A 22,241-nucleotide genomic window follows, 5' to 3' on the forward strand; every position below is an offset into this window, starting at 1 on the left:
CCACATTTGGTCTTTAGGGTGGACCCTGTCGATTAGATGCTGGCGTTTGGCTTCCCGATCAGCCCGCGAATCAGCCGACTGCGGGAAGCAAGCAACATCCAGTTGACACGGCCGCGGGCTTCTCTGTCTGGAAGACCTGGGACCAGGGCCTAAGGCCCCAGTCCTCAGGTCTCTGGTCGCCGTGCCCACCTGATGTCCGCGGCAAGCGTTGGACTTGACCGTCAACTTGGGATTTCTAAGGTAGACCAGATAACTTTGGTCAGCAGCAGTACCGCCCGCATTCACTAGGTGTCGCTTTTTCCTTGCGTTGTTTCTTCCTCTCCAACTGTTTCCACAGTACTTTCAGTTTCTCTTCGTTTTGTTTTTCTTTTATTTTTCTTGCTCCTCTTTCTACACACTGAAGTTGCTGTTGTTTTACATTTACCTTTTATTTATTTGTAGTTTTTGAGGCAGGTTGGAGTGTAAGAATGCAATCTCGGCTTACAGCCGCCTCGACTTTCCAGGACTCCCTCAGGTGATCTTCCTATCTCAGCCTTCCAAGTGGCTGAGACTACAGGAATCACTTAATTCTGTGATGTCGAAGCTGAAGTGAGCCGTGATGATGCCTTGCCCTCCAGTCTGAGTGTTTCAGAAGGTAAGAGAGACAGGTTAAAGAAAAAAATTCCTTGAAATAAACTGCAATTAATTGTGATCTAAATTACCTTTTATAGTTTTTCACTCCCACGAGTTTATTATTATTGCTGCTTATTATTTCTTTGTATTATTGTTTGTCATTATTGTTATTGTTTTTATTATTTATGTAATTATTTAGAGATGGAGTCTTCCTCTATCACCCAGAGTGCAGTGCAGTGGCGCGACTTTGGGTCACTGCAGCTTCAAATGCCTGGGTTCAAATTCGCAATATGGCGAAACACCCTGTTTACTAAAATCTGTCAATGACACCTTCAGGACCGTTGGTTGTGGCGGCTGCAATTTCGGAGGCTGAGGAGGGCAGTTCGCTAGAGCTCGGGAGTTCAAGACAGCCTCGGAAACAGACTGCAGAGCATTTGTCTGACCAAGACCCGCTGCAGCCTCCACCTCCCGACCCCAAGCGATGTTCTCAACTCAGGCTCCAAAGGATCTGGGACCACAGGCGCCTGCCATCACAATGCCCGGATTTTTTTCTTTTCTTTTCTTTTTCAGTAGAGACGGGGTCTCACTGTGTTGCCAGGGCTGGTCTCAAAGTCCTAGGCTCTAGCAATTCTTCCAACTCAGCCTCCCAAAGTGCTGGGATTATAGGTGTGAGCCACAATGCCCTGCCCTCTTTTTTATTTCCTTCATTTTTTCTCTTTTTTTCTTTCTCTTTCTTTCTGTCTTTTCTTTTTCTTCTCTCTTTTTCTTCCTCCCTTTTTTCTCTCATTTCTCATTCTTTTTTTTTCTGTTTCTATGTCTTTTGGTTTTCTTTTTCATCTTTCTTCCCTTTACATCTCTGTCTGTCTATTTTCTTTTTCTTGATCTTCCTTACTCTCTCTTTTCTTCATTTCTTTCTTTCCATCCCTCTGTCTGTCTGTCTTTGTGTGGATTTTGGAAAATTCTCCTTATTCTGTATCTCCCTGTGTATCACAAGCCTCTGTGACTTTCACTTTGTTGTTTTTCCTCCTTGTCGCGTAAAAGGCATTCACTGCTCTTTTATTTTGGTGCTCTGTGGATGTTCGAAGGGTGGGGAAAAAGTGGTCCACGAATCTGATTGGTTTCATGAGAGACACGAGAGACAAAAGAACATATGATGATTACTTCGCTAAATGCCCTGTTTATTCTTTCAACTGCACTCATACAAGTAAGGACGCAGTTGGTGGGTTGAGAGATCTCTGTGTAGTCATGACTCTGCAATTATACTTGACGAGAGCGGTGATGATGAACGGGCGGCATGGAAACCTGCCCTTCTTTGGTGTCAGTTGAGCACAGTGAGAAGAGATTCACAATGGCCTGTATCTCAACCTGATGGTGCTGTGTTTCTGCTCTGATCTTTAGGAATGAGAGAAGCATTCCCGTGCATTCCTGCAACGTCCTTGAAGTTTTCTTTTTAAACTTTTCGATTAACTAACGTATTTATTAATTTATTTGAGATGGAGTCTTGTTCTGTTGGTCAGGCCATGGCGCAGTATCGGGCCACTGCAACCTCCGCCTCCCAGGTTCCAGCGATTCTCTTGCCTTAGCCTCTCGAGTAGCTGGGATAACAGGCACGTGCCACCATACCCAGCTAACTTTTACCTTTTTAGTAAAGACAGGGTTTTCCCATGTTGCCCAGGCTGGTCTTGAACTCCAACTTCCAGGAATCCTGTGGCCTCGTCCTCCCAAAGTGCTGGGAGATCCCAGGTCATCAGACTCGAGAAAGAATGTTGGTTGATATAGAAAGGCGAGACACACTGCGCCCGACCCAAATTGCTATTTTTAAAAATAAACCAGTAGGCTGGGTGCAGTGGGTCACTCCTCTCATCTCAGCAGTTTGCTAGGCGGATGTGGGAGGATTACGAGGTCAGGAGTTTGAGACCAGCCTGGCCAACATAGTCAAACTCTGTCTGTATGAAGAATACAAAAATTAACCAGGTGTGGTGTCACGCACCTCTACTCCCAGCTACTCTATATGCTGAGGTAGTAGAATCTGTTGAAGCCGGGAGATGGAGATTGCAGTCAGCCCAGATCATGCCACTGGACTCCAGCTTGGGTGACAGAGTCAGATTCCATCTAAAAAAAAAAAAAGTAATTAAAAATAAGTGAGTTTCCAAGAAGAAATAGAAACCCGCAGTGACACAAACATATGCATCTCACCTTTCGAGGCAGCAATGACACTACAAACTTGTAAACTCAGTTCATTTCTTGACTGCGGACCATGGGTATTTGTGATGCTTCCTCTTGGAACATAGTTCTGTGCGACACCATACCCAGCTAACGTTTGCCTTTTTAGTAGTCAGAATTTTGCTATATTGCCCAGACTGCTCTTGAACTCATGAACTCCAGGTATCCCCCCGCCCAAAAAAAAGAGTTGTGATGAAAGGAGACACACAGATGGATTTCAGCCCTTAAAATGGTGCATGCTGCCACATTTCACAGATCTTCCCTGGGCCTTACTGGTATTTGCCCAACATAGAAATGCTTTCTAAAAAGTGACAATTTGCTTACATAATATTTCCACAAGCGATGCCTTGGTCTGTGTTTGTTTTTACGTTTTGTTTTGTTTGTAGTTTTTACTTTACTTATCTCTTTTCAGTTGAAGTAGATTTTACCAATTTTAGGAAGATGTGTATTTTCCCCAAAACCTGTTAGCTGGTGTTTTCTTCGGTCATTAAGTAGCGATTTTCGGAATCTCTCAAGGTACAGTGAGAGCCGATTGATATAAACTATACTTCATAAAATCTTCTTTCCTTTTCATTTTTTTTTTTTTTTTTTTGTCTTTCAGGTGGAGTTTCGCTCTTATTGCCCAGGCTGGAGTTCAGTGGCGCGACCTCAGCTCACCGCAACCTCTGCCGCCTGTGTTCAAGAGATTTTCCAGTCTTCACCCTTTCGAGTAGCTGAAACCACAGGCAAACACCTCCAGGCCTGGCTAATTTTTTTTTTTTTCATAGAGACAAGGTAGCTCCATAATGGTCAGGCTGGTCTAGAACACCCAACCTGAGGCGTACCACCCAACTTGACCACCCAAAGTGCTGAGATTAAAGGCGTGAGCTCCGCGTCTGGCCATAACATCTTATCCTATAGAAGCCCAGAGAGGTTAGGTATGTAGTCCCTGAGACCAGCCTTCCTTGGATGAACTCCAAAGTGATGGCTGAGGATTAGGGAGTGTGGGGGGGGGGGGCTGGAAAGTCGGTCCCCTATTGTTGCTACCTAGGCCATGACATCCCCAGACTCCCATCGCCTGCTCACCGTTTGAGATTCCCCCCCACCACCGCCTTGGTGGCTGAACTCTTACTTTAATTTCTGTCTTTCTTCGTTTGTTGGGTTTCAGGAGGGGGTGCAGGAAAGACGGTGTGCGTGGGGAGGGGGTGTAGGGTGGGGATGGAGGGGAGCGTCCTAAGGGTCGATGTAGTGTCATGCCTCTTTCATCACCACCACCGAAGATGAAACAATAATCATCTAAATACCGCGTGTTCTCACACATAAGTGGGAACTGCATAATGAGAATGCATGCGAAGAACTAGGGGGACGAGAGACGCAGGAGCCTACCTGAGGGAGGACGTGTGGAAGGACAGACAGCTTCAGGACAAAGCAAAACGAGCAGAACACAAAAACTGTAGGGGACTGCGCTGAGAATCCGGGTGAGGAAATCATCGGCACACTGAACCCCCTACTCAGAAGTTTACCTATGAAACAATCTTGCACATGTATGCTTCAAAAACAAATAACAGTTAGGGAAGAAAGAGAGAGAGAGAGAAAGAGAGAGAGACAAGTAAAATAAAGCACCACCTCCTTGACCTGACTCAGGGTGTTTGGGGTCTTCTGGGGAAATGTTCTGAAACAATGGAGTATTTTGGTCTGTTCTTTCTTGTGTCTTTTTTTTTTTTTTTAAGACGGACTCTCGCTCAGCCACCCAGGCTGGAATGCAGTGGTGCACTGGGTTCACTGCAGCAAATATCTCCCGGGTTGAAGCGATTCTCCAGTCTCATCCTCCTGAGTGGCCGGGATTACAGTCACGCGCCATAATGCCCTGCTAATTTTTGAACATTAGTAGAGAAGGGGTATTGCCATGCTTGCGACGCTGGACTTGAAGGCAAAATGAAAATGAAAATGAAACGCAACAAAATAATTAAAAAGTGAGTTTCTGGGGAAAAAGAAGAAAAGAAAAAAGAAAAAAACAACAAAACAGAACAACCCCACCGTGACATACACGTACGCCTCTCGCCTTTCGAGGCCTCAAACACGTTAGGAATTATGCGTGATTTCTTTTTTTAACTTCATTTTATGTTATTATCATGATTGATGTTTCGAGACGGAGTCTCGGAGGCCCGCCCTCCCTGGTTGCCCAGACAACCCCGGGAGACAGACCCTGGCTGGGCCCGATTGTTCTTCTCCTTGGTCAGGGGTTTCCTTGTCTTTCTTCGTGTCTTTAACCCGCGTGGACTCTTCCGCTCGGGTTTGACAGATGGCAGCTCCACTTTAGGCCTTGTTGTTGTTGGGGACTTTCCTGATTCTCCCCAGATGTAGTGAAAGCAGGTAGATTTGCCTTGCCTGGACTTGCCTGGCCTTGCCTTTTCTTTCTTTCTTTCTTTATTACTTTCTCTTTTTCTTCTTCTTCTTCTTCTTCTTCTTCTTCTTCTTCTTCTTCTTCTTCTTCTTCTTCTTCTTCTTTTTTTTTTGAGACAGAGTTTCACTCTTGTTGCCCAGGCTAGAGGGCAATGGCGCGATCTCGGCTCACCGCACCCTCCGCCTCCCAGGTTCAAGCGATTCTCCTGCCTCAGCCTCCTGATTAGCTGGGATTACAGGCATGGGCCACCGTGCCTGGCTGATGTTTGTACTTTTAGTAGAGACGGTGTTTTTCCATGTTGGTCAGGCTGGTCTCCCACTCCCAACCTCAGGTGGTCCGCCTGCCTTAGCCTCCCAAAGTGCTGGGATGACAGGCGTGAGCCACCGCGCCCAGCCTCTCTCTCTCTCTCTCTCTCTCTCTCTCTCTCTCTCTCTCTCGCTCGCTTGCTTGCTTTCGTGCTTTCTTGCTTTCCCGTTTTCTTGCTTTCTTTCTTTCTTTCGTTTCTTTCATGCTTGCTTTCTTGCTTGCTTGCTTGCTTTCGTGCTTTCTTGCTTTCCTGTTTTCTTTTTCTTTCTTTCTTTCTTTCTTTCTTTTGTTTCTTTCTTGCTTGCTTTCTTGCTTGCTTGCTTGCTTTCGTGCTTTCTTGCTTTCCTGTTTTCTTTCTTTCTTTCTTTCTTGCTTGCTTTCTTGCTTGCTTGCTTTCGTGCTTTCTTGTTTTCTCGCTTTCTTTCTTTCTTTTGTTTCTTTCCTGCTTGCTTTCTTGCTTGATTGCTTTCGTGCTTTCTTGCTTTCTTGTTTTCTTTCTTTCTTTTGTTTCTTTCTTTCTTGCTTCCTTGTTTTCTTGCTTTCTTGCTTGCTTGCTTTCGTGCTTTCTTGTTTTCTTGCTTTCTTTCTTTTGTTTCTTTCTTGCTTGCTTTCTTGCTTCCTTGTTTTCTTGCTTTCTTGCTTGCTTGCTTTCGTGCTTTCTTTCTTGCTTTCTTTTCTTTCTTTCTTTTCTTTTTCTTTCTTTCTTGCTTTCTTTTCTTTCATTCATTCATTCTTTCTTTCTTTCCTTTCTTTCTTTCTTTCTTTCTATCTTTCTTTCTTTCTTTCTTTCTTTCTTTCTTTCTTTCTTTCTGTTTCGTCCTTTTGAGACAGAGTTTCACTCTTGTTTCCACGGCTAGAGTGCAATGGCGCGATCTTGGCTCACCGCACCTTCCGCCTCCCGGGTTCGAGCGCTTCTCCTGCCTCAGCCTCCCGATTAGCGGGGATTACAGGGAGGCACCCCCACGCCTGGCTTGGCTGATGTTTGTGTTTTTAGTAGGCACGCCGTGTCTCTCCATGTTGCTCAGGCTGGTCTCCAACTCCCGACCTCCTGTGATGCGCCCACCTCGGCCTCTCGAAGTGCTGGGATGACGGGCGTGAGCCACCGTGCCCGGCCTGTTGACTCATTTCGCTTTTTTATTTCTTTCGTTTCCACGCGTTTACTTATATGTATTAATGTAAACGTTTCTGTACGCTTATATGCAAACAACGACAACGTGTATCTCTGCATTGAATACTCTTGCGTATGGTAAATACGTATCGGTTGTATGGAAATAGACTTCTGTATGATAGATGTAGGTGTTTGTGTTATACAAATAAATACACATCGCTCTATAAAGAAGGGATCGTCGATAAAGACGTTTATTTTACGTATGAAAAGCGTCGTATTTATGTGTGTAAATGAACGAGCGTACGTAGTTATCTCTGTTTTCTTTCTTCCTCTCCTTCGTGTTTTTCTTCCTTCCTTTCTTCCTTTCTCTCCTTCTTTAGGTTTTTCTTCCTCTCTTCCTTTCCTTCTTTCTCTCTTTCTGTCCTTTTTTCCTTCGTGCTTTATTTCTCTTTCGTTCCCTGTGTTTCCTTCTTTTTTCTTTCCTCTCTGTTTCTTTTTCCCTTCTTTCCTTCGTTTCTTTCCTCATTCTTTCTCTCTTTTTCGTGTTTCTTTCCTTCCCGTCTGTCTTTTAAAAAATGGAGTGTTTCAGAAGTTTACTTTGTGTATCTACGTTTTCTAAATTGTCTCTCTTTTCTCCATTTTCTTCCTCCCTCCCTCCCTCCCTCCCTCCCTGCTCCCTTCCCTCCCTCCTTCCCTTTCGCCATCTGTCTCTTTTCCCCACTCCCCTCCCCCCGTCTGTCTCTGCGTGGATTCCGGAAGAGCCTACGCATTCTGCCTCTCCGTGTGTCTGCAGCGACCCGCGACCGAGTCCTTGTGTGTTCTTTCTCCCTCCCTCCCTCCCTCCCTCCCTCCCTCCCTCCCTGCTTCCGAGAGGCATCTCCAAACACCCACGCGCCGTGGGTTGTCTTCTGACTCTGTCGCGGTCGAGGCAGAGACGCGTTTTGGGCACCGTTTGTGTGGGGTTGGGGCAGAGGGGCTGCGTTTTCGGCCTCGGGAAGAGCTTCTCGACTCACGGTTTCGCTTTCGCGGTCCACGGGCCGCCCTGCCAGCCGGATCTGTCTCGCTGACGTCCGCGGCGGTTGTCGGGCTCCATCTGGCGGCCGCTTTGAGATCGTGCTCTCGGCTTCCGGAGCTGCGGTGGCAGCTGCCGAGGGAGGGGACCGTCCCCGCTGTGAGCTAGGCAGAGCTCCGGAAAGCCCGCGGTCGTCAGCCCGGCTGGCCCGGTGGCGCCAGAGCTGTGGCGCGTCGCTTGTGAGTCACAGCTCTGGCGTGCAGGTTTATGTGGGGGAGAGGCTGTCGCTGCGCTTCTGGGCCCGCGGCGGGCGTGGGGCTGCCCGGGCCGGTCGACCAGCGCGCCGTAGCTCCCGAGGCCCGAGCCGCGACCCGCGGGGACCCGCCGCGCGTGGCGCGGGAGGCTGGGGACGCCCTTCCCGGCCCGGTCGCGGGTCCGCGCTCATCCTGGCCGTCTGAGGCGGCGGCCGAATTCGTTTCCGAGTCCCCGTGGGGAGCCGGGGACCGTCCCGCCCCCGTCCCCCGGGTGCCGGGGAGCGGTCCCCGGGCCGGGCCGCGGTCCCTCTGCCGCGATCCTTTCTGGCGAGTCCCCGTGCGGAGTCGGAGAGCGCTCCCTGAGCGCGCGTGCGGCCCGAGAGGTCGCGCCTGGCCGGCCTTCGGTCCCTCGTGTGTCCCGGTCGTAGGAGGGGCCGGCCGAAAATGCTTCCGGCTCCCGCTCTGGAGACACGGGCCGGCCCCCTGCGTGTGGCACGGGCGGCCGGGAGGGCGTCCCCGGCCCGGCGCTGCTCCCGCGTGTGTCCTGGGGTTGACCAGAGGGCCCCGGGCGCTCCGTGTGTGGCTGCGATGGTGGCGTTTTTGGGGACAGGTGTCCGTGTCGCGCGTCGCCTGGGCCGGCGGCGTGGTCGGTGACGCGACCTCCCGGCCCCGGGGGAGGTATATCTTTCGCTCCGAGTCGGCATTTTGGGCCGCCGGGTTATTGCTGACACGCTGTCCTCTGGCGACCTGTCGCTGGAGAGGTTGGGCCTCCGGATGCGCGCGGGGCTCTGGCCTACCGGTGACCCGGCTAGCCGGCCGCGCTCCTGCTTGAGCCGCCTGCCGGGGCCCGCGGGCCTGCTGTTCTCTCGCGCGTCCGAGCGTCCCGACTCCCGGTGCCGGCCCGGGTCCGGGTCTCTGACCCACCCGGGGGCGGCGGGGAAGGCGGCGAGGGCCACCGTGCCCCCGTGCGCTCTCCGCTGCGGGCGCCCGGGGCGGCCGCGACAACCCCACCCCGCTGGCTCCGTGCCGTGCGTGTCAGGCGTTCTCGTCTCCGCGGGGTTGTCCGCCGCCCCTTCCCCGGAGTGGGGGGTTGGCCGGAGCCGATCGGCTCGCTGGCCGGCCGGCCGGCCTCCGCTCCCGGGGGGCTCTTCGTGATCGATGTGGTGACGTCGTGCTCTCCCGGGCCGGGTCCGAGCCGCGACGGGCGAGGGGCGGACGTTCGTGGCGAACGGGACCGTCCTTCTCGCTCCGCCCCGCGGGGGTCCCCTCGTCTCTCCTCTCCCCGCCCGCCGGCGGTGCGTGTGGGAAGGCGTGGGGTGCGGACCCCGGCCCGACCTCGCCGTCCCGCCCGCCGCCTTCTGCGTCGCGGGGCGGGCCGGCGGGGTCCTCTGACGCGGCAGACAGCCCTCGCTGTCGCCTCCAGTGGTTGTCGACTTGCGGGCGGCCCCCCTCCGCGGCGGTGGGGGTGCCGTCCCGCCGGCCCGTCGTGCTGCCCTCTCGGGGGGTTTGCGCGAGCGTCGGCTCCGCCTGGGCCCTTGCGGTGCTCCTGGAGCGCTCCGGGTTGTCCCTCAGGTGCCCGAGGCCGAACGGTGGTGTGTCGTTCCCGCCCCCGGCGCCCCCTCCTCCGGTCGCCGCCGCGGTGTCCGCGCGTGGGTCCTGAGGGAGCTCGTCGGTGTGGGGTTCGAGGCGGTTTGAGTGAGACGAGACGAGACGCGCCCCTCCCACGCGGGGAAGGGCGCCCGCCTGCTCTCGGTGAGCGCACGTCCCGTGCTCCCCTCTGGCGGGTGCGCGCGGGCCGTGTGAGCGATCGCGGTGGGTTCGGGCCGGTGTGACGCGTGCGCCGGCCGGCCGCCGAGGGGCTGCCGTTCTGCCTCCGACCGGTCGTGTGTGGGTTGACTTCGGAGGCGCTCTGCCTCGGAAGGAAGGAGGTGGGTGGACGGGGGGGCCTGGTGGGGTTGCGCGCACGCGCGCACCGGCCGGGCCCCCGCCCTGAACGCGAACGCTCGAGGTGGCCGCGCGCAGGTGTTTCCTCGTACCGCAGGGCCCCCTCCCTTCCCCAGGCGTCCCTCGGCGCCTCTGCGGGCCCGAGGAGGAGCGGCTGGCGGGTGGGGGGAGTGTGACCCACCCTCGGTGAGAAAAGCCTTCTCTAGCGATCTGAGAGGCGTGCCTTGGGGGTACCGGATCCCCCGGGCCGCCGCCTCTGTCTCTGCCTCCGTTATGGTAGCGCTGCCGTAGCGACCCGCTCGCAGAGGACCCTCCTCCGCTTCCCCCTCGACGGGGTTGGGGGGGAGAAGCGAGGGTTCCGCCGGCCACCGCGGTGGTGGCCGAGTGCGGCTCGTCGCCTACTGTGGCCCGCGCCTCCCCCTTCCGAGTCGGGGGAGGATCCCGCCGGGCCGGGCCCGGCGTTCCCAGCGGGTTGGGACGCGGCGGCCGGCGGGCGGTGGGTGTGCGCGCCCGGCGCTCTGTCCGGCGCGTGACCCCCTCCGCCGCGAGTCGGCTCTCCGCCCGCTCCCGTGCCGAGTCGTGACCGGTGCCGACGACCGCGTTTGCGTGGCACGGGGTCGGGCCCGCCTGGCCCTGGGAAAGCGTCCCACGGTGGGGGCGCGCCGGTCTCCCGGAGCGGGACCGGGTCGGAGGATGGACGAGAATCACGAGCGACGGTGGTGCGGGCGTGTCGGGTTCGTGGCTGCGGTCGCTCCGGGGCCCCCGGTGGCGGGGCCCCGGGGCTCGCGAGGCGGTTCTCGGTGGGGGCCGAGGGCCGTCCGGCGTCCCAGGCGGGGCGCCGCGGGACCGCCCTCGTGTCTGTGGCGGTGGGATCCCGCGGCCGTGTTTTCCTGGTGGCCCGGCCGTGCCTGAGGTTTCTCCCCGAGCCGCCGCCTCTGCGGGCTCCCGGGTGCCCTTGCCCTCGCGGTCCCCGGCCCTCGCCCGTCTGTGCCCTCTTCCCCGCCCGCCGCCCGCCGATCCTCTTCTTCCCCCCGAGCGGCTCACCGGCTTCACGTCCGTTGGTGGCCCCGCCTGGGACCGAACCCGGCACCGCCTCGTGGGGCGCCGCCGCCGGCCACTGATCGGCCCGGCGTCCGCGTCCCCCGGCGCGCGCCTTGGGGACCGGGTCGGTGGCGCCCCGCGTGGGGCCCGGTGGGCTTCCCGGAGGGTTCCGGGGGTCGGCCTGCGGCGCGTGCGGGGGAGGAGACGGTTCCGGGGGACCGGCCGCGACTGCGGCGGCGGTGGTGGGGGCAGCCGCGGGGATCGCCGAGGGCCGGTCGGCCGCCCCGGGTGCCGCGCGGTGCCGCCGGCGGCGGTGAGGCCCCGCGCGTGTGTCCCGGCCGCGGTCGGCCGCGCTCGAGGGGTCCCCGTGGCGTCCCCTTCCCCGCCGGCCGCCTTTCTCGCGCCTTCCCCGTCGCCCCGGCCTCGCCCGTGGTCTCTCGTCTTCTCCCGGCCCGCTCTTCCGAACCGGGTCGGCGCGTCCCCCGGGTGCGCCTCGCTTCCCGGGCCTGCCGCGGCCCTTCCCCGAGGCGTCCGTCCCGGGCGTCGGCGTCGGGGAGAGCCCGTCCTCCCCGCGTGGCGTCGCCCCGTTCGGCGCGCGCGTGCGCCCGAGCGCGGCCCGGTGGTCCCTGCCGGACAGGCGTTCGTGCGACGTGTGGCGTGGGTCGACCTCCGCCTTGCCGGTCGCTCGCCCTTTCCCCGGGTCGGGGGGTGGGGCCCGGGCCGGGGCCTCGGCCCCGGTCGCGGTCCCCCGTCCCGGGCGGGGGCGGGCGCGCCGGCCGGCCTCGGTCGGCCCTCCCTTGGCCGTCGTGTGGCGTGTGCCACCCCTGCGCCCGCGCCCGCCGGCGGGGCTCGGAGCCGGGCTTCGGCCGGGCCCCGGGCCCTCGACCGGACCGGTGCGCGGGCGCTGCGGCCGCACGGCGCGACTGTCCCCGGGCCGGGCACCGCGGTCCGCCTCTCGCTCGCCGCCCGGACGTCGGGGCCGCCCCGCGGGGCGGGCGGAGCGCCGTCCCCGCCTCGCCGCCGCCCGCGGGCGCCGGCCGCGCGCGCGCGCGCGTGGCCGCCGGTCCCTCCCGGCCGCCGGGCGCGGGTCGGGCCGTCCGCCTCCTCGCGGGCGGGCGCGACGAAGAAGCGTCGCGGGTCTGTGGCGCGGGGCCCCGGTGGTCGTGTCGCGTGGGGGGCGGGTGGTTGGGGCGTCCGGTTCGCCGCGCCCCGCCCCGGCCCCACCGGTCCCGGCCGCCGCCCCCGCGCCCGCTCGCTCCCTCCCGTCCGCCCGTCCGCGGCCCGTCCGTCCGTCCGTCGTCCTCCTCGCTTGCGGGGCGCCGGGCCCGTCCTCGCGAGGCCCCCCGGCCGGCCGTCCGGCCGCGTCGGGGCCTCGCCGCGCTCTACCTTACCTACCTGGTTGATCCTGCCAGTAGCATATGCTTGTCTCAAAGATTAAGCCATGCATGTCTGAGTACGCACGGCCGGTACAGTGAAACTGCGAATGGCTCATTAAATCAGTTATGGTTCCTTTGGTCGCTCGCTCCTCTCCTACTTGGATAACTGTGGTAATTCTAGAGCTAATACATGCCGACGGGCGCTGACCCCCTTCGCGGGGGGGATGCGTGCATTTATCAGATCAAAACCAACCCGGTCAGCCCCTCTCCGGCCCCGGCCGGGGGGCGGGCGCCGGCGGCTTTGGTGACTCTAGATAACCTCGGGCCGATCGCACGCCCCCCGTGGCGGCGACGACCCATTCGAACGTCTGCCCTATCAACTTTCGATGGTAGTCGCCGTGCCTACCATGGTGACCACGGGTGACGGGGAATCAGGGTTCGATTCCGGAGAGGGAGCCTGAGAAACGGCTACCACATCCAAGGAAGGCAGCAGGCGCGCAAATTACCCACTCCCGACCCGGGGAGGTAGTGACGAAAAATAACAATACAGGACTCTTTCGAGGCCCTGTAATTGGAATGAGTCCACTTTAAATCCTTTAACGAGGATCCATTGGAGGGCAAGTCTGGTGCCAGCAGCCGCGGTAATTCCAGCTCCAATAGCGTATATTAAAGTTGCTGCAGTTAAAAAGCTCGTAGTTGGATCTTGGGAGCGGGCGGGCGGTCCGCCGCGAGGCGAGCCACCGCCCGTCCCCGCCCCTTGCCTCTCGGCGCCCCCTCGATGCTCTTAGCTGAGTGTCCCGCGGGGCCCGAAGCGTTTACTTTGAAAAAATTAGAGTGTTCAAAGCAGGCCCGAGCCGCCTGGATACCGCAGCTAGGAATAATGGAATAGGACCGCGGTTCTATTTTGTTGGTTTTCGGAACTGAGGCCATGATTAAGAGGGACGGCCGGGGGCATTCGTATTGCGCCGCTAGAGGTGAAATTCTTGGACCGGCGCAAGACGGACCAGAGCGAAAGCATTTGCCAAGAATGTTTTCATTAATCAAGAACGAAAGTCGGAGGTTCGAAGACGATCAGATACCGTCGTAGTTCCGACCATAAACGATGCCGACCGGCGATGCGGCGGCGTTATTCCCATGACCCGCCGGGCAGCTTCCGGGAAACCAAAGTCTTTGGGTTCCGGGGGGAGTATGGTTGCAAAGCTGAAACTTAAAGGAATTGACGGAAGGGCACCACCAGGAGTGGAGCCTGCGGCTTAATTTGACTCAACACGGGAAACCTCACCCGGCCCGGACACGGACAGGATTGACAGATTGATAGCTCTTTCTCGATTCCGTGGGTGGTGGTGCATGGCCGTTCTTAGTTGGTGGAGCGATTTGTCTGGTTAATTCCGATAACGAACGAGACTCTGGCATGCTAACTAGTTACGCGACCCCCGAGCGGTCGGCGTCCCCCAACTTCTTAGAGGGACAAGTGGCGTTCAGCCACCCGAGATTGAGCAATAACAGGTCTGTGATGCCCTTAGATGTCCGGGGCTGCACGCGCGCTACACTGACTGGCTCAGCGTGTGCCTACCCTACGCCGGCAGGCGCGGGTAACCCGTTGAACCCCATTCGTGATGGGGATCGGGGATTGCAATTATTCCCCATGAACGAGGAATTCCCAGTAAGTGCGGGTCATAAGCTTGCGTTGATTAAGTCCCTGCCCTTTGTACACACCGCCCGTCGCTACTACCGATTGGATGGTTTAGTGAGGCCCTCGGATCGGCCCCGCCGGGGTCGGCCCACGGCCCTGGCGGAGCGCTGAGAAGACGGTCGAACTTGACTATCTAGAGGAAGTAAAAGTCGTAACAAGGTTTCCGTAGGTGAACCTGCGGAAGGATCATTAACGGAGCCCGGAGGGCGAGGCCCGCGGCGGCGCCGCCGCCGCCGCGCGCTTCCCTCCGCACACCCACCCCCCCACCGCGACGCGGCGCGTGCGCGGGCGGGGCCCGCGTGCCCGTTCGTTCGCTCGCTCGTTCGTTCGCCGCCCGGCCCCGCCGGCCGCGAGAGCCGGAGAACTCGGGAGGGAGACGGGGGAGAGAGAGAGAGAGAGAGAAAGAGAAAGAAGGGCGTGTCGTTGGTGTGCGCGTGTCGTGGGGCCGGCGGGCGGCGGGGAGCGGTCCCCGGCCGCGGCCCCGACGACGTGGGTGTCGGCGGGCGCGGGGGCGGTTCTCGGCGGCGTCGCGGCGGGTCTGGGGGGGTCTCGGTGCCCTCCTCCCCGCCGGGGCCCGTCGTCCGGCCCCGCCGCGCCGGCTCCCCGTCTTCGGGGCCGGCCGGATTCCCGTCGCCTCCGCCGCGCCGCTCCGCGCCGCCGGGCACGGCCCCGCTCGCTCTCCCCGGCCTTCCCGCTAGGGCGTCTCGAGGGTCGGGGGCCGGACGCCGGTCCCCTCCCCCGCCTCCTCGTCCGCCCCCCCGCCGTCCAGGTACCTAGCGCGTTCCGGCGCGGAGGTTTAAAGACCCCTTGGGGGGATCGCCCGTCCGCCCGTGGGTCGGGGGCGGTGGTGGGCCCGCGGGGGAGTCCCGTCGGGAGGGGCCCGGCCCCTCCCGCGCCTCCACCGCGGACTCCGCTCCCCGGCCGGGGCCGCGCCGCCGCCGCCGCCGCGGCGGCCGTCGGGTGGGGGCTTTACCCGGCGGCCGTCGCGCGCCTGCCGCGCGTGTGGCGTGCGCCCCGCGCCGTGGGGGCGGGAACCCCCGGGCGCCTGTGGGGTGGTGTCCGCGCTCGCCCCCGCGTGGGCGGCGCGCGCCTCCCCGTGGTGTGAAACCTTCCGACCCCTCTCCGGAGTCCGGTCCCGTTTGCTGTCTCGTCTGGCCGGCCTGAGGCAACCCCCTCTCCTCTTGGGCGGGGGGGGGGGGGACGTGCCGCGCCAGGAAGGGCCTCCTCCCGGTGCGTCGTCGGGAGCGCCCTCGCCAAATCGACCTCGTACGACTCTTAGCGGTGGATCACTCGGCTCGTGCGTCGATGAAGAACGCAGCTAGCTGCGAGAATTAATGTGAATTGCAGGACACATTGATCATCGACACTTCGAACGCACTTGCGGCCCCGGGTTCCTCCCGGGGCTACGCCTGTCTGAGCGTCGCTTGCCGATCAATCGCCCCCGGGGGTGCCTCCGGGCTCCTCGGGGTGCGCGGCTGGGGGTTCCCTCGCAGGGCCCGCCGGGGGCCCTCCGTCCCCCTAAGCGCAGACCCGGCGGCGTCCGCCCTCCTCTTGCCGCCGCGCCCGCCCCTTCCCCCTCCCCCCGCGGGCCCTGCGTGGTCACGCGTCGGGTGGCGGGGGGGAGAGGGGGGCGCGCCCGGCTGAGAGAGACGGGGAGGGCGGCGCCGCCGCCGCCCGCGAAGACGGAGAGGGAAAGAGAGAGCCGGCTCGGGCCGAGTTCCCGTGGCCGCCGCCTGCGGTCCGGGTTCCTCCCTCGGGGGGCTCCCTCGCGCCGCGCGCGGCTCGGGGTTCGGGGTTCGTCGGCCCCGGCCGGGTGGAAGGTCCCGTGCCCGTCGTCGTCGTCGTCGTCGCGCGTCGTCGGCGGTGGGGGCGTGTTGCGTGCGGTGTGGTGGTGGGGGAGGAGGAAGGCGGGTCCGGAAGGGGAAGGGTGCCGGCGGGGAGAGAGGGTCGGGGGAGCGCGTCCCGGTCGCCGCGGTTCGCCGCCCGCCCCCGGTGGCGGCCCGGCGTCCGGCCGACCGCCGCTCCCGCGCCCCTCCTCCTCCCCGCCGCCCCTCCTCCGAGGCCCCGCCCGTCCTCCTCGCCCTCCCCGCGCGTACGCGCGCCCGCCCGCCCGGCTCGCCTCGCGGCGCGTCGGCCGGGGCCGGGAGCCCGCCCCGCGGCCCGCCCGGCCGCGCCCGTGGCCGCGGCGCCGGGGTTCGCGTGTCCCCGGCGGCGACCCGCGGGACGCCGCGGTGTCGTCCGCCGTCGCGCGCCCGCCTCCGGCTCGCGGCCGCGCCGCGCCGCGCCGGGGCCCCGTCCCGAGCTTCCGCGTCGGGGCGGGGCGGCTCCGCCGCCGCGTCCTCGGACCCGTCCCCCCGACCTCCGCGGGGGAGACGGGTCGGGGCGTGCGGCGCCCGTCCCGCCCCCGGCCCGTGCCCCTCCCTCCGGTCGTCCCGCTCCGGCGGGGCGGCGCGGGGGTGCCGCCGGCCGCGCGCTCTCTCTCCCGTCGCCTCTCCCCCTCGCCGGGCCCGTCTCCCGACGGAGCGTCGGGCGGGCGGTCGGGCCGGCGCGATTCCGTCCGTCCGTCCGCCGAGCGGCCCGTCCCCCTCCGAGACGCGACCTCAGATCAGACGTGGCGACCCGCTGAATTTAAGCATATTAGTCAGCGGAGGAGAAGAAACTAACCAGGATTCCCTCAGTAACGGCGAGTGAACAGGGAAGAGCCCAGCGCCGAATCCCCGCCCCGCGGCGGGGCGCGGGACATGTGGCGTACGGAAGACCCGCTCCCCGGCGCCGCTCGTGGGGGGCCCAAGTCCTTCTGATCGAGGCCCAGCCCGTGGACGGTGTGAGGCCGGTAGCGGCCCCCGGCGCGCCGGGCCCGGGTCTTCCCGGAGTCGGGTTGCTTGGGAATGCAGCCCAAAGCGGGTGGTAAACTCCATCTAAGGCTAAATACCGGCACGAGACCGATAGTCAACAAGTACCGTAAGGGAAAGTTGAAAAGAACTTTGAAGAGAGAGTTCAAGAGGGCGTGAAACCGTTAAGAGGTAAACGGGTGGGGTCCGCGCAGTCCGCCCGGAGGATTCAACCCGGCGGCGGGTCCGGCCGTGTCGGCGGCCCGGCGGATCTTTCCCGCCCCCCGTTCCTCCCGACCCCTCCACCCGCCCTCCCTTCCCCCGCCGCCCCTCCTCCTCCTCCCCGGAGGGGGCGGGCTCCGGCGGGTGCGGGGGTGGGCGGGCGGGGCCGGGGGTGGGGTCGGCGGGGGACCGTCCCCCGACCGGCGACCGGCCGCCGCCGGGCGCATTTCCACCGCGGCGGTGCGCCGCGACCGGCTCCGGGACGGCTGGGAAGGCCCGGCGGGGAAGGTGGCTCGGGGGGCCCCGTCCGTCCGTCCGTCCGTCCTCCTCCTCCCCCGTCTCCGCCCCCCGGCCCCGCGTCCTCCCTCGGGAGGGCGCGCGGGTCGGGGCGGCGGCGGCGGCGGCGGTGGCGGCGGCGGCGGCGGCGGCGGGACCGAAACCCCCCCCGAGTGTTACAGCCCCCCCGGCAGCAGCACTCGCCGAATCCCGGGGCCGAGGGAGCGAGACCCGTCGCCGCGCTCTCCCCCCTCCCGGCGCCCACCCCCGCGGGGAATCCCCCGCGAGGGGGGTCTCCCCCGCGGGGGCGCGCCGGCGTCTCCTCGTGGGGGGGCCGGGCCACCCCTCCCACGGCGCGACCGCTCTCCCACCCCTCCTCCCCGCGCCCCCGCCCCGGCGACGGGGGGGGTGCCGCGCGCGGGTCGGGGGGCGGGGCGGACTGTCCCCAGTGCGCCCCGGGCGGGTCGCGCCGTCGGGCCCGGGGGAGGTTCTCTCGGGGCCACGCGCGCGTCCCCCGAAGAGGGGGACGGCGGAGCGAGCGCACGGGGTCGGCGGCGACGTCGGCTACCCACCCGACCCGTCTTGAAACACGGACCAAGGAGTCTAACACGTGCGCGAGTCGGGGGCTCGCACGAAAGCCGCCGTGGCGCAATGAAGGTGAAGGCCGGCGCGCTCGCCGGCCGAGGTGGGATCCCGAGGCCTCTCCAGTCCGCCGAGGGCGCACCACCGGCCCGTCTCGCCCGCCGCGCCGGGGAGGTGGAGCACGAGCGCACGTGTTAGGACCCGAAAGATGGTGAACTATGCCTGGGCAGGGCGAAGCCAGAGGAAACTCTGGTGGAGGTCCGTAGCGGTCCTGACGTGCAAATCGGTCGTCCGACCTGGGTATAGGGGCGAAAGACTAATCGAACCATCTAGTAGCTGGTTCCCTCCGAAGTTTCCCTCAGGATAGCTGGCGCTCTCGCAGACCCGACGCACCCCCGCCACGCAGTTTTATCCGGTAAAGCGAATGATTAGAGGTCTTGGGGCCGAAACGATCTCAACCTATTCTCAAACTTTAAATGGGTAAGAAGCCCGGCTCGCTGGCGTGGAGCCGGGCGTGGAATGCGAGTGCCTAGTGGGCCACTTTTGGTAAGCAGAACTGGCGCTGCGGGATGAACCGAACGCCGGGTTAAGGCGCCCGATGCCGACGCTCATCAGACCCCAGAAAAGGTGTTGGTTGATATAGACAGCAGGACGGTGGCCATGGAAGTCGGAATCCGCTAAGGAGTGTGTAACAACTCACCTGCCGAATCAACTAGCCCTGAAAATGGATGGCGCTGGAGCGTCGGGCCCATACCCGGCCGTCGCCGGCAGTCGAGAGTGGACGGGAGCGGCGGGGGCGGCGCGCGCGCGCGCGCGTGTGGTGTGCGTCGGAGGGCGGCGGCGGCGGCGGCGGCGGGGGTGTGGGGTCCTTCCCCCGCCCCCCCCCCCACGCCTCCTCCCCTCCTCCCGCCCACGCCCCGCTCCCCGCCCCCGGAGCCCCGCGGACGCTACGCCGCGACGAGTAGGAGGGCCGCTGCGGTGAGCCTTGAAGCCTAGGGCGCGGGCCCGGGTGGAGCCGCCGCAGGTGCAGATCTTGGTGGTAGTAGCAAATATTCAAACGAGAACTTTGAAGGCCGAAGTGGAGAAGGGTTCCATGTGAACAGCAGTTGAACATGGGTCAGTCGGTCCTGAGAGATGGGCGAGCGCCGTTCCGAAGGGACGGGCGATGGCCTCCGTTGCCCTCGGCCGATCGAAAGGGAGTCGGGTTCAGATCCCCGAATCCGGAGTGGCGGAGATGGGCGCCGCGAGGCGTCCAGTGCGGTAACGCGACCGATCCCGGAGAAGCCGGCGGGAGCCCCGGGGAGAGTTCTCTTTTCTTTGTGAAGGGCAGGGCGCCCTGGAATGGGTTCGCCCCGAGAGAGGGGCCCGTGCCTTGGAAAGCGTCGCGGTTCCGGCGGCGTCCGGTGAGCTCTCGCTGGCCCTTGAAAATCCGGGGGAGAGGGTGTAAATCTCGCGCCGGGCCGTACCCATATCCGCAGCAGGTCTCCAAGGTGAACAGCCTCTGGCATGTTGGAACAATGTAGGTAAGGGAAGTCGGCAAGCCGGATCCGTAACTTCGGGATAAGGATTGGCTCTAAGGGCTGGGTCGGTCGGGCTGGGGCGCGAAGCGGGGCTGGGCGCGCGCCGCGGCTGGACGAGGCGCCGCCGCCCCCCCCACGCCCGGGGCACCCCCCTCGCGGCCCTCCCCCGCCCCACCCCGCGCGCGCCGCTCGCTCCCTCCCCGCCCCGCGCCCTCTCTCTCTCTCTCTCCCCCGCTCCCCGTCCTCCCCCCTCCCCGGGGGAGCGCCGCGTGGGGGCGGCGGCGGGGGGAGAAGGGTCGGGGCGGCAGGGGCCGGCGGCGGCCCGCCGCGGGGCCCCGGCGGCGGGGGCACGGTCCCCCGCGAGGGGGGCCCGGGCACCCGGGGGGCCGGCGGCGGCGGCGACTCTGGACGCGAGCCGGGCCCTTCCCGTGGATCGCCCCAGCTGCGGCGGGCGTCGCGGCCGCCCCCGGGGAGCCCGGCGGGCGCCGGCGCGCCCCCCCCCCCACCCCACGTCTCGTCGCGCGCGCGTCCGCTGGGGGCGGGGAGCGGTCGGGCGGCGGCGGTCGGCGGGCGGCGGGGCGGGGCGGTTCGTCCCCCCGCCCTACCCCCCCGGCCCCGTCCGCCCCCCGTTCCCCCCTCCTCCTCGGCGCGCGGCGGCGGCGGCGGCAGGCGGCGGAGGGGCCGCGGGCCGGTCCCCCCCGCCGGGTCCGCCCCCGGGGCCGCGGTTCCGCGCGGCGCCTCGCCTCGGCCGGCGCCTAGCAGCCGACTTAGAACTGGTGCGGACCAGGGGAATCCGACTGTTTAATTAAAACAAAGCATCGCGAAGGCCCGCGGCGGGTGTTGACGCGATGTGATTTCTGCCCAGTGCTCTGAATGTCAAAGTGAAGAAATTCAATGAAGCGCGGGTAAACGGCGGGAGTAACTATGACTCTCTTAAGGTAGCCAAATGCCTCGTCATCTAATTAGTGACGCGCATGAATGGATGAACGAGATTCCCACTGTCCCTACCTACTATCCAGCGAAACCACAGCCAAGGGAACGGGCTTGGCGGAATCAGCGGGGAAAGAAGACCCTGTTGAGCTTGACTCTAGTCTGGCACGGTGAAGAGACATGAGAGGTGTAGAATAAGTGGGAGGCCCCCGGCGCCCCCCCGGTGTCCCCGCGAGGGGCCCGGGGCGGGGTCCGCCGGCCCTGCGGGCCGCCGGTGAAATACCACTACTCTGATCGTTTTTTCACTGACCCGGTGAGGCGGGGGGGCGAGCCCCGAGGGGCTCTCGCTTCTGGCGCCAAGCGCCCGGCCGCGCGCCGGCCGGGCGCGACCCGCTCCGGGGACAGTGCCAGGTGGGGAGTTTGACTGGGGCGGTACACCTGTCAAACGGTAACGCAGGTGTCCTAAGGCGAGCTCAGGGAGGACAGAAACCTCCCGTGGAGCAGAAGGGCAAAAGCTCGCTTGATCTTGATTTTCAGTACGAATACAGACCGTGAAAGCGGGGCCTCACGATCCTTCTGACCTTTTGGGTTTTAAGCAGGAGGTGTCAGAAAAGTTACCACAGGGATAACTGGCTTGTGGCGGCCAAGCGTTCATAGCGACGTCGCTTTTTGATCCTTCGATGTCGGCTCTTCCTATCATTGTGAAGCAGAATTCACCAAGCGTTGGATTGTTCACCCACTAATAGGGAACGTGAGCTGGGTTTAGACCGTCGTGAGACAGGTTAGTTTTACCCTACTGATGATGTGTTGTTGCCATGGTAATCCTGCTCAGTACGAGAGGAACCGCAGGTTCAGACATTTGGTGTATGTGCTTGGCTGAGGAGCCAATGGGGCGAAGCTACCATCTGTGGGATTATGACTGAACGCCTCTAAGTCAGAATCCCGCCCAGGCGGAACGATACGGCAGCGCCGCGGAGCCTCGGTTGGCCTCGGATAGCCGGTCCCCCGCCTGTCCCCGCCGGCGGGCCGCCCCCCCCCTCCACGCGCCCCGCGCGCGCGGGAGGGCGCGTGCCCCGCCGCGCGCCGGGACCGGGGTCCGGTGCGGAGTGCCCTTCGTCCTGGGAAACGGGGCGCGGCCGGAGAGGCGGCCGCCCCCTCGCCCGTCACGCACCGCACGTTCGTGGGGAACCTGGCGCTAAACCATTCGTAGACGACCTGCTTCTGGGTCGGGGTTTCGTACGTAGCAGAGCAGCTCCCTCGCTGCGATCTATTGAAAGTCAGCCCTCGACACAAGGGTTTGTCCGCGCGCGCGCGCGCGCGCGCGTGCGGGGGGCCCGGCGGGGCGTGCGCGTCCGGCGCCGTCCGTCCTTCCGTTCGTCTTCCTCCCTCCCGGCCTCTCCCGCCGACCGCGGGCGTGGTGGTGGGGGTGTGGGGGGGAGGGCGCGCGACCCCGGTCGGCGCGCCCCGCTTCTTCGGTTCCCGCCTCCTCCCCGTTCACCGCCGGGGCGGCTCGTCCGCTCCGGGCCGGGACGGGGTCCGGGGAGCGTGGTTTGGGAGCCGCGGAGGCGGCCGCGCCGAGCCGGGCCCGTGGCCCGCCGGTCCCCGTCCCGGGGGTTGGCCGCGCGGGCCCCGGTGGGGCGGCCACCCGGGGTCCCGGCCCTCGCGCGTCCTTCCTCCTCGCTCCTCCGCACGGGTCGACCAGCAGACCGCGGGTGGTGGGCGGCGGGCGGCGAGGCCCCACGGGGCGTCCCCGCACCCGGCCGACCTCCGCTCGCGACCTCTCCTCGGTCGGGCCTCCGGGGTCGACCGCCTGCCGCCCGCGGGCGTGGGACTCAGCCGGCGTCTCGCCGTGTCCCGGGTCGAACGGCGGGCCTTCTCCACCGAGCGGCGTGTAGGAGTGCCCGTCGGGACGAACCGCAACCGGAGCG

The 22,241-nt window shown here is 63.4% G+C and overlaps 1 long non-coding RNA gene and 4 other non-coding genes across 5 annotated transcripts in view; all 5 read left to right on the forward strand.

The window, feature by feature from the left end:
* Positions 1-326: 326 nt before the first annotated feature.
* The window catches only part of LOC100507412 (uncharacterized), a 29,568-nt gene continuing 7,653 nt past the window's right edge, over positions 327-22,241 (forward strand). The window contains exons 1-2 of the long non-coding RNA NR_038958.1: positions 327-634; positions 3,437-3,752. This is a non-coding gene — a long non-coding RNA (uncharacterized LOC100507412). The remainder of the gene's footprint in view (positions 635-3,436; positions 3,753-22,241) is intronic.
* Positions 8,622-21,978, forward strand: RNA45SN5 (RNA, 45S pre-ribosomal N5). Its single transcript, NR_046235.3, has one exon. It is a non-coding gene; the product is annotated as an RNA, 45S pre-ribosomal N5 (ribosomal RNA).
* RNA18SN5 (RNA, 18S ribosomal N5) lies at positions 12,276-14,144 on the forward strand. Its single transcript, NR_003286.4, has one exon. It is a non-coding gene; the product is annotated as an RNA, 18S ribosomal RNA N5 (ribosomal RNA).
* Positions 15,222-15,378, forward strand: RNA5-8SN5 (RNA, 5.8S ribosomal N5). The gene has a single exon (NR_003285.3). It is a non-coding gene; the product is annotated as an RNA, 5.8S ribosomal RNA N5 (ribosomal RNA).
* On the forward strand, positions 16,546-21,615 carry RNA28SN5 (RNA, 28S ribosomal N5). The gene has a single exon (NR_003287.4). It is a non-coding gene; the product is annotated as an RNA, 28S ribosomal RNA N5 (ribosomal RNA).

Source organism: Homo sapiens, unplaced genomic scaffold (assembly GCF_000001405.40).
Source record: "Homo sapiens unplaced genomic scaffold, GRCh38.p14 Primary Assembly HSCHRUN_RANDOM_CTG11".
NCBI classification, from domain to species: Eukaryota; Metazoa; Chordata; class Mammalia; order Primates; family Hominidae; genus Homo; species Homo sapiens.